We start from the raw sequence: 15,284 nt of genomic DNA, 5'->3' as shown, positions 1-15,284 counted from the left end.
TTCTTCCTGGTTTAGTCTTGGGAGAGTGTATGTGTTGAGGAATTTATCCATTTCTTCTAGATTTTCTAGTTTATTTGCATAGAGGTGTTTGTAGTATTCTCTGATGGTAGTTTGTATTTCTGTGGGATCGGTGGTGATATCCCCTTTATCATTTTTTATTGCGTCTATTTGATTCTTCTCTCTCTTTTTCTTTATTAGTCTTGCTAGCAGTCTATCAATTTTGTTGATCCTTTCAAAAAACCAGCTCCTGGATTCATTAATTTTTTGAAGGGTTTTTTGTGTCTCTATTTACTTCAGTTCTGCTCTGATTTTAGTTATTTCTTGCCTTCTGCTAGCTTTTGAATGTATTGGCTCTTGCTTTTCTAGTTCTTTGAATTGTGATGTTAGGGTGTCAATTTTGGATCTTTCCTGCTTTCTCTTGTGGGCATTTAGTGCTATAAATTTCCCTCTACACACTGCTTTGAATGCGTCCCGGAGATTCTGGTATGTTGTGTCTTTGTTCTCCTTGGTTTCAAAGAGCATCTTTATTTCTGCCTTCATTTCTTTATGTACCCAGTAGTCATTCAAGAGCAGGTTGTTCAGTTTCCATGTAGTTGAGCAGTTTTGAGTGAGATTCTTAATCCTGAGTTCTAGTTTGATTGCACTGTGTTCTGAGAGATAGTTTGTTATAATTTCTTTTACATTTGCTGAGGAGAGCTTTACTTCCAACTGTGTGGTCAATTTGGGAATAGGTGTGGTGTGGTGCTGAAAAAAATGTATATTCTGTTGATTTGGGGTGGAGAGTTCTGTAGATGTCTATTAGGTCTGCTTGGTGCAGAGCTGAGTTCAATTCCTGGGTATCCTTGTTTACTTTCTGTCTCATTGATCTGTCTAATGTTGACAGTGGGGTGTTAAAGTCTCCCATTATTAATGTGTGGGAGTCTAAGTCTCTTTGTAGGTCACTCAGGACTTGCTTTATGAATCTGGGTGCTCATGTATTGGGTGCATATATATTTAGGAGAGTTAGCTCTTCTTGTTGAATTGATCCCTTTACCATTATGTAATGGCCTTCTTTATCTCTTTTGATCTTGGTTGGTTTAAAGTCTGTTTTATCAGAGACTAGGATTGCAACCCCTGCCTTTTTTTGTTTTCCATTTGCTTGGTAGATCTTCCTCCATCCTTTTATTTTGAGCCTATGGCTGTCTCTGCACGTGAGATTGGTTTCCTGAATACAGCACACTGATGGGTCTTGACTCTTTATCCAATTTGCCAGTCTGTGTCTTTTAATTGGAGCATTTAGTCCATTTACATTTAACGTTAATATTGTTATGTGTGAATTTGATCCTGTCATTATGATGTTAGCTGGTTATTTTGCTCGTTAGTTGATGCAGTTTCTTCCTAGTCTCGATGGTCTTTACATTTTGGCATGATTTTGCAGCGGCTGGTACCGGTTGTTCCTTTCCATGTTTAGTGCTTCCTTCAGGAGCTCTTTTAGGGCAGGCTTGGTGGTGACAAAATCTCTCAGCATTTGCTTGTCTGTAAAGTATTTTATTTCTCCTTCACTTATGAAGCTTAGTTTGGCTGGATATGAAATTCTGGGTTGAAAATTCTTTTCTTTAAGAATGTTGAATATTGGCCCCCACTCTCTTCTGGCTTGTAGGGTTTCTGCCGAGAGATCTGCTGTTAGTCTGATGGGCTTCCCTTTGTGGGTAACCCGACCTTTCTCTCTGGCTGCCCTTAACATTTTTTCCTTCATTTCAACTTTGGTGAATCGGACAATTATGTGTCTTGGAGTTGCTCTTCTCAAGGAGTATCTTTGTGGCGTTCTCTGTATTTCCTGAATCTGAACGTTGACCTGCCTTGCTAGATTGGGGAAGTTCTCCTGGATAATATCCTGCAGAGTGTTTTCCAACTTGGTTCCATTCTCCCCATCACTTTCAGGTACACCAATCAGATGTAGATTTGGTCTTTTCACATAGTCCCATATTTCTTGGAGACTTTGTTTGTTTCTTTTTATTCTTTTTTCTCTAAACTTCCCTTCTCACTTCATTTCATTCATTTCATCTTCCATTGCTGATACCCTTACTTCCAGTTGATCGCATCAGCTCCTGAGGCTTCTGCATTCTTCACGTAGTTCTTGAGCCTTGGTTTTCAGCTCCATCAGCTCCTTTAAGCACTTCTCTGTATTGGTTATTCTAGTTATCCATTCATCTAAATTTTTTTCAAAGTTTTCAACTTCTTTGCCTTTGGTTTGAATGTCCTCCCGTAGCTCAGAGTAATTTGATCGTCTGAAGCCTTCTTCTCTCAGCTCGTCAAAGTCATTCTCCATCCAGCTTTGTTCCATTGCTGGTGAGGAACTGCGTTCCTTTGGAGGAGGAGAGGCGCTCTCCTTTTTAGAGTTTCCAGTTTTTCTGTTCTGTTTTTTCCCCATCTTTGTGGTTTTATCTACTTTTGGTCTTTGATGATGGTGATGTACAGATGGGTTTTTGGTGTGGATGTCCTTTCTGTTTGTTAGTTTTCCTTCTAACAGACAGGACCCTCAGCTGCAGGTCTGTTGGAATACCCTGCCTTGTGAGGTGTCAGTGTGCCCCTGCTGGGGGGTGCCTCCCAGTTAGGCTGCTTGGGGTTCAGGGGTCAGGGACCCACTTGAGGAGGCAGTCTGCCCGTTCTCAGATCTCCAGCTGCGTGCTGGGAGAACCACTGCTCTCTTCAAAGCTGTCAGACAGGGACATTTAAGTCCGCAGAGGTTACTGCTGTCTTTTTGTTTGTCTGTGCCCTGCCCCCAGAGGTGGAGCCTACAGAGGCAGGCAGGCCTCCTTGAGCTGTGGTGGGCTCCACCCAGTTCGAGCTTCCTGGCTGCTTTGTTTACCTAAGCAAGCCTGGGTAATGGCGGGCGCCCCTCCCCCAGCCTCACTGCAGCCTTGCAGTTTGATCTCAGACTGCTGTGCTAGCAATCAGGGATACTCCATGGGCGTAGGACCCTCCGAGCCAGGTGCGGGATATAATCTCATGGTGCACCATTTTTTAAGCCGGTCAGAAAAGCACAGTATTCGGGTTGGAGTGACCCGATTTTCCAGGTGCGTCCGTCACCCCTTTCTTTGACTCGGAAAGGGAACTCCCTGACCCCTTGCGCTTCCCAAGTGAGGCAGTGTCTCGCCCTGCTTCGGCTCGCGCACGGTGCGCACACCCACTGACCTGTGCCCACTGTCTGGCACTCCCTAGTGAGATGAACCCAGTACCTCAGATGGAAATGCAGAAATCACCCATCTTCTGTGTCGCTCATGCTGGGGGCTGTAGACCGGAGCTGTTCCTATTCGGCCATCTTGGCTCCTCCCCGAGGCTGTTTCTTGATAGCTCATTTGGTGGACAGAAATCAGGTGGTTTATGGACTTCCTTGTTACTGGGCATGTTTGTAACTGGTACAAGGCATGAAATCACTGTTTTCTGGGATAGGTGTAGAAAGAATATCTTCTATCCCTGTATGGCCTGAATGACTTTGACAGTGGTAACTTTTTGAAACTCAGAAGTAGCTTTAAAAACCTGCCATTCTAACTCATGGAAAGTAATAGGATTCAATTTGGCATGAACATGCTATGAATTTGACAACTAAAATGCAAGCTTCCAGCTCCACATCACCCGTCTCTCAGGCCCTTCTCTTTTATTTTCAGGCCCCAATTTGAGGCCAAAGGAGCTCAGTCTGAGACATATTATGTGGCCCAGCTGTTTGCTTCAGAGATCCATTCCTGCAGCTGTTCAAATGGCACTGTTGTTCTTTTCTTAAAATTCGGTTTCTCATCCCATTCGCCAGCTGAGCTCAAACAAAGAGCAACAAATGACATATTTCTACAAACAAAATATGTTTGTTTTGTTGTAAATGTATAAAGAGATCAATAAAGTTAAGCCAAACTTTCCAAGGCCAGAGGTGTTACCAAGAAAATGACATTACAGTCACTTGACAGAAAAGGAAAATTATGTTTGCCAAAGATAATAAAGAGCTCACATTTCCCCAGTTAACATTTTATAACCAAAGAGGAAAATGCAGTACTGTGCAGAAGAACGCACTTCTTTGTGCCTTTGAAGCCGATGGATTTCAGTTAAATGTCTCTTATAACAATTGGGGTTGCTTAATGTTTAATTATACATCAACAGAAACAACCATTATATTCATGATTCACTGAGGCTCCTCTGCTATTTTTGAAATCATCCTAAAATACCATTTGGTTTACACTTCTCACTCTCTTTGGAGAGTTAATTTTACAAACAGATATATGTGCTGGGCTTAAAAGATTAAATGTCTCCATCTTTATTGTTTTCCAATACAATATTTATGTAGTAGAAGCTTTCCTCCAATTAATCATACTATGTGAGTGTTTGATCTGGAAATCTTTGAGCAATGGAGAAAAAATATATGAGTGAGGTCAATGGATGTGCATGGCAGATAGTAAGTATGCATTTGGAAGAAGAACTCGAGAACCTACATTCAGGAATAACTAGAATGTGAGGAAAGGAAATAAATATTGATTAGTGGAGGAGAAATAGGTCAGAGAGAGAAGTGGTACATTCTTTTTTTTTTTTTTTTTTTGAGATAGAGTCTCACTCTGTTGCCCAGGCTGGAATGCAGCGGGTTGATCTTGGCTCACTACAACCTCTGCCTCCCAGGTTCAAGTGATTCTCCTGCCTCAGTCTACCAAGTAGCTGGGATTACAGGTGCCTGCCACCATGCCTGGCTAGTTTTTGTATGAGAAGTGGTATATTGTCTAAGTGAACTAACACAGAAAACCAAATGCCACATGTTCTCATTGTAAGTGGGAGCTAAACATTGGGTTACACGGACACAAAGATGGGAACAATAGACACTGGGGGCCACTAGAAGTGGGAGAGACAGACCGGGCACAGTGGCTTATGCCTGTAATTCCAGCACATTGAGAGGCTGATGCGGATGGATCACCTGAGGTCACGAGTTCGAGACTAGCCTGGCCAACGTGGTGAAACCCCATCTCTACTAAAAATACAAAAATTAGCCGGGCGTGGTGGTGGGTGCCTGTAATCCCAGCTACTGGGGAGGCTCAGGGAGGAGAAGTGCTTGAACCTGGGAGGTGGAGGTTGCAGTGAGCTGAGATTGCGCCATTGCAGTCCAGCCTGGGTAACAAGAGTGAAACTCTGTCTCAAAAAAAAAAAAAAAAAAGAAGTGGGAGAGACAGACGGGGCAAAGGCTGAAAGCTACCTATTGGATACTGTGTTCACTACCTAGGTGATGAGTTCAATCATATTCCATACCTCAGCATCCTGCAATATACCCAAGCAACAAACCTGCCCATGTACCCCTTGATTCTAAAGTAAAAATGGAAAAAGAAAAAAGCCTCTTTCTATATCTTCATTTATGTGATAAGGATTTGAATGCCTACTATGGAGCATGTGGAACTGTAGGTCCTGGGGAATCAGCAATTAACAACAACGAAAAGTAAAATAAATCTCCTGCCCTCTTGGAGTGTACCTTCAGGTCAGAAATACAGTCAACAAACATGCAGAAAGAAAATCACAAGTGGAATATGAAATAGATGGTAGGTAATATCTGTGAAGAAAATTTTTAAAAACTTTAAGAGGGATACAGAGTAGAGGAAGAAATAACTATAATATCAAATGGAGAGTTAGGGAAGACCTCATAGCAATGGTGGTATTTGAACAAAGACCTGAAGGAGTGGACCTTGTGGATAATACCTGGAGAAAGAAATTTGAGTTTGGAAAACAGCTCTTGAGGTGAAAGAATGTCTGTCATGTCCAAAGAGTAGTGAGGAGGGCAGTGTGATTGGTCAGAGTGAATGCAGTGAAGATTGGTGAAGAATGAATGCAGAGAATTAATGGGAAGGGATCAGGCAGCTGAATAGAGCTAGGACAGCTGTGCAGTGTGTGCACTGCACAAAATGCCTGTTGAGGGAGCCAACTGTCTACTTGCCGAGGTGTGAGCTCTGGGGCAGGGTGGTATCTGCCAGTGGGGGGTCAGAGCACTTTCATTCTTACAAAGGCACCAGCCACATTATCAAGGTTTAGCCATATAAAGCACTGAAGGCAGAGAGGGGGAGCCATTTTTAAAAACTGACCAAAGTTACTTTATAAGCTTCCAAGCCATGATGATGACCTGGATTTTAACTCAAGGGGATATGGGGGCCCACCAGACAGTTTTGAGCAGAGGAGTGACATGACCTGACTTGTTTAGCAGCAGCACACTCTCAGCTCTGTAGTGGATAAATTGAAGAGGCCATGATCAGATGCTTGGAAACTAGCTAACAAGCTATGAACCTAATCCAGTCAAAAGTTGATGGTGACTTAAGTCAGCGTGGTTGTAGCAGATACAGTAGAAGTGGAAGTGGTGGGATTTGAGGTGTGTTATGGAGATAGAGCCAACCGAATTTCTGAATGGCATAGACTTGAGGTGTGAGTAAAATAAAATGATCAAGGATGACACCACATGTTAGACTGATCAACTGGAAGGATAGTGTTCCATTGCTGAGATAGAAAGTCTCTAGAAAAATCAGGATGAGGAAGGGAGGAGAACATAAGGAGGTCAGTTCTTGACATGTACGGTTTGAGATGCTTATTAGCCATCCAGATGGAGACTTAGGTAAGCAATTGTATATATGAGTCTGAAGTTCAGGGTAGAAATACAGACTGCAGATATAGACTTGAGAATCACTAGTGTGAAGATGTCTTTAAAACAAAGACCAAATGAGGACCAGAGAGTAAGCGCAGATGGATTGAGAAGAGGTATCCATCCTGAGCTTTGGGACTTTGCACAATTAAGAGATTAAAGAGATACAAGGACTAGCACAAGAGGCTGAGAAGAAGCTGCCAATAAGACAAAAAGCCTTAAAGGTGTGAATTCCTGGAAGTCAAAGAAAAGTTTTCAAGGAGGACTGAGCTAGCTGTGGAAAAATGTCAATAAATATTTACCAAGCATCTACCATAGGGTTTGGCAATATAGAGAGGAAGTTTGACCTTCGTGGAGTAGTAGAGAAAAAGTCTCATTAGAGTGGATTTAAAAGAGAATGAGAAGTGAGCAATGGTGGAGCTAGAAGAGTACTGGCTACTTTTAAAAGAAGTTTGACTATAAATAAGAGGAAACAAATGGCACTGTACCTGGGGAAGGAAGTGGATTGAGATATATGTATTTTTTCAGATGGAGAATAAAACAACTTACTGATTCACTGACAAGAAAAATCCAGTAGAAAGGAAAATTTTGATGAAGCAGAAGAAAGAGGAAAAACTGTTACAATAATGTCTTTGGAAAAGCATGAAAGATAGAACATAGTACCAAAGCTAAGTTTAGCCTTAGTTGAAAATCCAGTTGAGTATTCCACAGTAATGGGGGGAATACAGGCTAATGGACACAGATGCAGGTAAGTGGGTAATTGTGATGGTGGGAGCTTATGCAAGTTCTTTTTTGAATGCTTGAATGTTCTCGTTGAAACAAGGAATTATATCACCAGCTGAAAGTGAGGACAAGGAAAGATATATTGCAGGTTTAAGAAGAGGAGGAAACATGAAACAGTTGTCTAGAAGAGAAGGGGAATAAATTTGACTAGACAAGTAGGGCATTCTTACCAGGCAACATTACAGGCCAGCTGTTCTCAGCTAAATGGGTACATAAGATTAATACGTTGGGAGGCCAATTTAATCAGGGCTGGAGTTTTGCCAAAATAATAGGTCAAAGCAGAAGAGAAACAAGAGAGTTAAGAGTATAACCAAAGGAGCAATTCTAATGATTGACTCTACAACTTAACATAGGTAAATTCAAATATGAGGACAAGAGGAGGCAGTGAAAAGGTGGTAGGGTAAAGGTCCTGACCCAGGTGTGGAGAATTGTTGGTACTAGAGGGGAGGCTCACAAAAGGGAGAGAGATGTTTGAAATGAGACAATGAAGGATTTGTACTATTGGTGATGATAGCGTCTGGTTGTGACTGCAGGAGTGAGTGGTTGAGCAAGAGTGAAGGACAGAAAGGAGGTCATAGGACTGACAGGCATCAGAAGAATTTCTACACAAGTATCTTTCAAACAAGAGTGCTACCACTCACCTGAGGTGGGTGGGTGGGGTTGAAAATGTGTTGATTTTTTAAAATAAACTTAATTTTATAATAGTGTTAGATTTTCAGAAAAGTTAAGATAGTACATAGTTTCCATATATCTAATACTCAATTTTCCCTATTATTAATAGTTTACATTTGCGTGGAATATATGCTACAATTAATGAACCAATATTGATAGATTATTACTAACTAAAGTCTATATTTTATTGATATTTGCTTAGTTTTGATCTAACATCTGTCTTCTGCTCCAGGATCCCATCAGGATCCCACATTCATTTAGTTGTCATGTCTCTTAGGCTCCTCTTAGCTGTGTTGCCTTTTCAGACTTTCCTGGTTTTTTTGCTGACCTTGACAGTTTTGGGGACTACTCGTTTAGGTATTTTGTAGAACATCCCTCAACTGAGATTTGTCTGATTTGTTTTTTTCTCAAGATTAGAATGGAGTTAATGGGTTTTGTGGAGACAGACCCACTTTACAGAGGCAAAATTTCATTCTCATCACATATCAAGGCAAAATGCTATGAACAATGGCTTATCACTGTTGATGTTGACCTTGGTTACCTGACTAAGGTAGTTTCTGTCAAGTTGCTCCACTGCAAATTTACTCTTTTATTTTCCTTTCCATACTCTACTCTTTGGGATTAAGCATGATCTTCAGCCCACACCGAAGGAGTAGGGAGTCATGCTTGAGTGCAGAGTAGTTACCTAAATTATCTGGAATTCTTGTACTTGGGGGGGTTGTCTATTTTTCTCCATTTGTGTATTTATTTAATCATGTATTTATATCAGTATGGATATGTATTTTATACTTTGGGCTATAATCTGATTCTACCTTACTTATTTTGTTACACAAATTGCGTCAGCCTTGGGAGCTCTCTCAGTTTGCACCTGTGATCTTCTGACATGCCCCCATCATTGTGGGGCTTTTGTTTGTTTCCTAACATTTACTTTCTGGTACTAAAGTATGCTCCAGATTCATCTTGTATATTTTCTCTGCCAGTCCTAGGTGAGTGATTTCACCAAAGAACTCTGGTTCCTTTTCTCAGAGAATGGTGTTAGAAACAAAGATCTGGGCGCTCATTTTGCTTTTTGCTCCTGGTGTGCTGCCGCTTCTAGGCTCTCTCAGCTGAACATTTCTGTATGTCCCTGTATGTATCTATATCAAGATAAACATAAATTGATGCTGATGTCACATGGATCATTCTAGCCCTCTCCACTTGCTTATTTGAAGCCTCCCTCCCTGTTGGAGCATTTTCAAACTGGGAAGTGTTATTGGCATTTAGAGGGCAGGAGTCAGGGAAGTCAAATTCCTTGCCACCCAAGCAATAGTTTCATATAAATGAAGAATTTTCTCTGCTCAAATAACAATGGTACTCCAATGGAAAACACTGATGTTTGTGGACATCAACAGCCCCAAGAATCCAACAGAAATAGCATTGTGTAGAGTCACAGTGAGTGGAAAAAGAAGCTTCAAGTTATGAGGGGAATAGCTACTAGCTGGGTGAATGCTTTGAGGGTACAAAGTAAGAGAAACAATCTGCTGATAAAATCAACTGGTTTGATTGTATTAGTGGCCTCCGTTCCTCAGCGCCCCCAGCCCCTGTATTCAGGTCCTTTTGAATGTGACCCTGCAACATTTCCTGTCAAGGAGAGAACCTATTTCCCCACACCTTGAATCTGTGTTGGTTTCAGGAATTGCTTTGGCCAGCAGAGTGCAGAGAAGGTGATGTCATACTTGTTCTGAGCCTAATCTTCAAGCAGCTTTGGGTGTTTCTGCTTCTTTTCTCATGACTCCATGAGAACATCATGAAAACAAGCCCCAGCTGTTTTTTAAGAGGATAAAACAAACAAGGCTCAGAGCCAAACCACCACAGCCAAAGCCACCCTAGATCAGCCAAAGGCCAGCTGACTCCCAGATATATGACAAGACCAATCTAACCTGAGGAAACGAACCAGCTGAACCCAGCTGTGGTAGGCAGCAGCTTGCATGGCTCCCAGTGGTTCTGGTATACATGTACTTAAGTAACCCCATTTATTTGGATGTGGGCTGGACCTAGGGACTTGTTTTTAAATGAATAGAATACAGCAAATGTGATGGAATGTCACTTCCAAGAAGTTATAAAAGACTGTGATTTCTATCTTGTTCATTCTTTTCTCCCTCTCCTATGATTCTTGTTCTGGGGGAAAGCCAACTGCTGTGCTATGAATAGTCCTTTGTAGAAGCCCACATAGTAAGGAACTGATGTTTCCAGCAAACTGCCAGCAAGGACCTGAAGCCAGCCACATCCACAACAGGGATCTTGAATGTGGATCAACCTCCAGTCGAGCGTTGAGATGACCCTTGTCTCAGCCAATACCTTGATTGTAACCCGTGAGACACCCAGAGCCAGAGGACTCACCTAAGCTGCACCTAATTCCTAACTCATGCAAACTGAGAATGATAAATGGGTATTGTGTTAAGCTGCTGAGTTTTAGGATAATTTGTTAGGCAGCAATATATAACTAATACATCAGCTTAAATTGCTAAACTGCAGGCCTGAGAACTAAATACGTGCTCATTGTGTTAAGCCTTTGGCTTTGGGGATGGCTTGCTATGCAGCGTTACTTCGGCAATAGACTACTGATACCACCTGAAATGAACACCTAGCTCTTTTAGAAAGCCAAGAGAAGGATAATTTGAAAATAGCCATGAGGAGAGGAGAATAGCAGATGCCTTCCTTACTTCCAGGCCCATGTGTGGCGAATATTAAAGTTTTAAAGCTGATTTTTGTATGCAGCTTTTGAAAATATATTTCAGTGTTTAATAGCTTTATCGTGTATATAGAAACAATCTTCTGTAGCTTGAAAAACCTCGCAAATCAAACACTGAAGCTATTAATTATGACAGCCTAAAAAGACAAAATGTTCTTCTCACAGCTGAGATGCAATTCTGTTCTATCAGCTGACATGCAATATTCATTCTTTTTTAAAAAAGTTTTTGGTCTAGCATAACAGAGGACCAAAAACATATTGTAAAACCTCGTCATATAACTATGCTACTTTTTAAACAATTTGCTTTTTAAAATGTCATTTAGAAAGATAGCTTTGGGTAGATAGAATCAAATGGAACTAATCTACAAGTTTAGCAACATAGCAACATTTAAGGAAAGCCTGAAATAAATAGATCATAGGTAGATAGACTAATGTAAATTGCAAAATGATAGATTAGAGAGAGAGAGAGAGAGAGAGAGAGGAAGAGAGAGATCCTCTCCATCCATAGGTACACACATATGAAAGAATAAAGTTATTCCAAGTGTAGTAGATGCTCTTTGCTCTCTGCCCAGATTCCCTTTATCCAGCAAGTGTAGCCATCTCCCAGTTGCCATGAGTGATGGCTGTTAGATGGCTCCAGGCTGCCAACTTCTTTGGAGACTACTTTCTTCTGTAAGGGAGCTGTCTGACTTGGAGGTTCTACATTACCACCTTTGGAGTGGCCTGCCAGGTTACACAATGTCTTGCCCCTTGCCTCAAGGTGGGATGAACTCTGTGGTTTGATTCATGCTCAGATCTCTGTGTGTGATCAGGCTGAGGTTAATCTCCAGCAGAGATAACATCCTTGCTCAGCTACTCTTCCTGTCATACCCTGCGTCCCTCCTCTCCTGAGAGTCTTCCCTTAATAAATCACATGCATTGGAATCCTCTTCTCAGCCTCAGAATCCCCTGTCTGCTTCCAGGGAAGCTAACCTAAATCCTCAAACCATGTTCTTCTCACAAACTTAACTTTTAATTCTACTTTCTGGCTGTGGGACTCCCCACTTGGGTGTGTTTATAGATATGTTTGTTTCTCCTGGGCAGTTGTTCTCAGGACAAAAATACCTGATATTGTGTTCCTGAGTCATGTTGGCTGGTTATATCTTTATTCTGTGCCAACCCTCAGTCCCACAGGGCATCTTCTGCTTGGTCTTGTCACGGACTGAAAGAGCTCAATCAGCAGGAAAAGAAAGATTCCCCAATTCATCTTGCAATATGGCTATGTTAGACTGAAGAGTTCCTCTGGAGCATCGTGAAAGAGAAATGCCTGGGGTCTGAGCTTGGTGCCTGCTGTACCGAGGGACTATTCACATATTATTTACTGTGACATTTGTCTCTGCGTGCTGCCTCCTTCTGAGACAGTGCATTCTTAAGATCAAAATCATCAACCTGAAAGGCAATGGCAGGGAGAAGTTTCTTAAAGGAACAATGTTCCATTTATGTTCATTTTCTCTCTTTACTCAACCTTTGATAATTAACTGAGTGAAAGGAGGAGATAATGGGAACTAAGGGCTGATTGGAACCTCTGGTGGAATTGGAGCCACCTCCTGTGTCATGAATTCTAAGCGATGTCACATAGAAGTTATTTCTAGAGGGTTTAAATCTTTTGATTGCCTCCACCACAGAGCGTTAAGGGTAAAAAGAAGTTAGTTCTCATTCAGGGAGTGAGGGAGAAGAAAAATCACTGTTTTTAAAATGGTGTGTAGTCAAGTACATATAACACACAGGGTAATAGTATATTGGCATTTTGTTAACTTAAGAATTCAGGTCCATCTCAGATAGTATGAATGTGATAATGCGGGCAAAGTTCTTATAAAAGAAGATGAAAGAAGACTGAGTTTGAGAAAGTTCCCATTAAAGATGAAGGGAATTTAACATTCATTGCTGGGTGTCAGCCTTATTTTAGTCCTTATGCCTACATTTTCCTAAGTAATATCATATTATTCTAATTGCAATCCCATGAGATAGGTACGAATGTAATCCCTATTTTACACATGAGGTCCTGAATGTTAGGAGGATTAAAGTAATATTCCCAAGGAGTGGCAAAGACTTCCTAAATTCTAAGATATCTTTACTCTTACTAAGTAATATTAGGAGTTAACAAACAAGTAAAGTAGCAAGACACAAAAAACTGGGTGAGTGTGAGAAAGACTTGAGAAAGTGGACATGCATTTTTACTGAATCCCATGGCTAAATGGAGATTTTACATTTTTATAGCAGTTAAAAGCAGTCTAGCATAGTGGAAGAAAAAACCATGAATCTTGTGTCCCCACTTCGATGTGAAAATTAATGGACTCTCTTATCTTTGAGTTATTCATTCCTTAAGTAGGACAAATAATACCTTCCTTTTTAGGGTTATAGTAAGAAGTGAAGGTGATATGTGCGTAGGGTCTGATACAGAGTAAATGTCTAATCAACTAAGTAATTTGTTTATTTACTGAACCTACTCCATGTACAATCTACTCTGAGGCCCAATAGATGAAAGTTGGTTGGCATAGAGGGCTAATCACTAAAGTCAGTTAAACTGCAACCTCATTGAAGAAGTGCATCTTACACAGATGGAAAGAGAATTTGTTAATGGAAACCCGAGGTTATATTCCAGATCTCACCAAAACGTTATATAATGAAAATGCCTTCCCCGATGTTATTTTACCCTTTATTCTCCAACACACACTCTATTCCAGCCATTATGAATAATACTTAGTTTCTTATAATGATACTGCCCCCTCTGACTCTATTTCCTGATCCCCAACCATGTCTAGTTTTGACTGAATATTTCATGATTGTACTTCATATCTCAGCTTAGATATTTTTCCCCTAAGAATCATCCTTCTTTGATACACCAGTTGCTTTCCCTGTCTTATGCTACAGTAGCTTTTACCTCCCTTATCAGAACACTTACAATTCAGGATTAGAATTGCTCATTTGTCTATGTAACTGGAATATAACTGGGGGTCCATGTGGCCCAGTCTCTGGACAGTATTACTTTGTAAATAATAATTGTTTGGAGCAATTCAATTTTGTTAATTTGTAAAAATACCAGAGTACTCTTGTAACGTGGGTGCATTCTTAAAGAAATAAAATATAAACCTTTACAAATTATTAATATTAAATATTTAATGTTAAACGTAACATATCTAAATGTTTAAAATATTTTTCTCACACTCAATATCTTTCTTTTTGCGTGGAAGATTCTTAAAACAACAAGAACAACAAAATGAAATCGAGTGAGTCTTCTTGCTGCTCTTTGTCTGTTTCCCAAAACTCTGTCCCACACCTAGTGCACATGGCTTTCCTTTTTTCTTTCCTCATCTATGACATAGACCTTATTATGATGGTAAACTTAGCTTCTCTACATTCTTTGAACGCTTGTCACTTTTTGCTATACTAGTGGTTGAGGAGATGATAAGCAAGTGAGAATCTTCCTTCAGCTGGGAAATAGAGGTGAGAGGGAAGGGGAAGAAAGGCTGTGAATATTCACACATTTTTGCTTTTTGTTATTTCCTCATCTTTCTGTGCCCTAAGCACATTGAAAACAAAGATTAGGTCTTGGTAAATACTATATTCTCAGCATTTAATGATACCTAGCAAAGAATAGACACCTAAATATATGCATAAATAAATAAACATACACATTGGGGAAAATAGACTTCTTGTAAATGTCACCGTGAGTCTGATTTTAAAGCCTGTGAATAGTGGCCTCTCTGTTTTCTTCTGAGCTGAGAGCACTCCTGAGGTGACCTTCTTCTCACATTTTACAGAGTTAAACCATATTATGTGATTAGAGTTGATCTATAGTAGTTCAAGGACCACAGTCATGCTTAAGTGATTTATCAGGTTTTAGGCAAATCACCCTCAACATCTCTTGGCTCTATTTTACTTGGAAGTGAGGTACATAAAGTAAAGAGAAATAAATGACTTAAGAACTAAGATTTTAAAGTTTTCTGTTAAAAAGTTCATTTATAATCATAATGTTTCCATCTGTTGTAAGTACTCTGGGATCGTCCTTACATTTTACTTTAAATCAGGGGCCAGTCAATATATTCATGCTTACCTGTTGCTTAGCGTTCAGTTTTATTTGGCCTAGATTGGTAGGGAACTAGATTATTTGCAAGGCTGAGCAGAACCAGTGGAAACATATAAATAAAATGTTGCCCCCTGATAAAGCCAAAACAATCCCAGAACCAAACTTAAAATAGATTTTTTGTAACTACAATTATTTCACATATGCCAGATTTAATAAAAATGATGATGACAACAATGATGATAATAATAGTACCTCTTCCTGTATGATTAGGGAATATACACAGTGCTTAATGAGTACACACCAGCTCTACCCAGTAACAATGTGAAAACAAAATGGACACTTCTCCTATTCTTGGGAGCTGTCCCCAGCTACAGCTGCCACATGGTGGATATAGAGGGAAGTGGTGA

The 15,284-nt window shown here is 40.4% G+C and overlaps 2 annotated features.

Moving 5' to 3' along the window:
- Positions 2,461 to 2,987: an enhancer, noted in NCBI's record as "NANOG-H3K27ac-H3K4me1 hESC enhancer chr20:12563483-12564009 (GRCh37/hg19 assembly coordinates)". NCBI's record gives its function as "activates a minimal SCP1, AML or CMV promoter by ChIP-STARR-seq in naive and primed H9 embryonic stem cells {active_cell/tissue: H9 hESC(naive and primed)}" and the evidence as "EXISTENCE:reporter gene assay evidence [ECO:0000049][PMID:30033119]".
- Positions 2,988 to 3,514: an enhancer, noted in NCBI's record as "NANOG-H3K27ac-H3K4me1 hESC enhancer chr20:12562956-12563482 (GRCh37/hg19 assembly coordinates)". NCBI's record gives its function as "activates a minimal SCP1, AML or CMV promoter by ChIP-STARR-seq in naive H9 embryonic stem cells {active_cell/tissue: H9 hESC(naive)}" and the evidence as "EXISTENCE:reporter gene assay evidence [ECO:0000049][PMID:30033119]".

Source organism: Homo sapiens, chromosome 20, assembly GCF_000001405.40.
Source record: "Homo sapiens chromosome 20, GRCh38.p14 Primary Assembly".
Lineage (NCBI taxonomy): Eukaryota > Metazoa > Chordata > Mammalia > Primates > Hominidae > Homo > Homo sapiens.
Note: the sequence above shows the minus strand (reverse complement) of the source record. Positions and strands in the feature narration are given on the sequence as shown.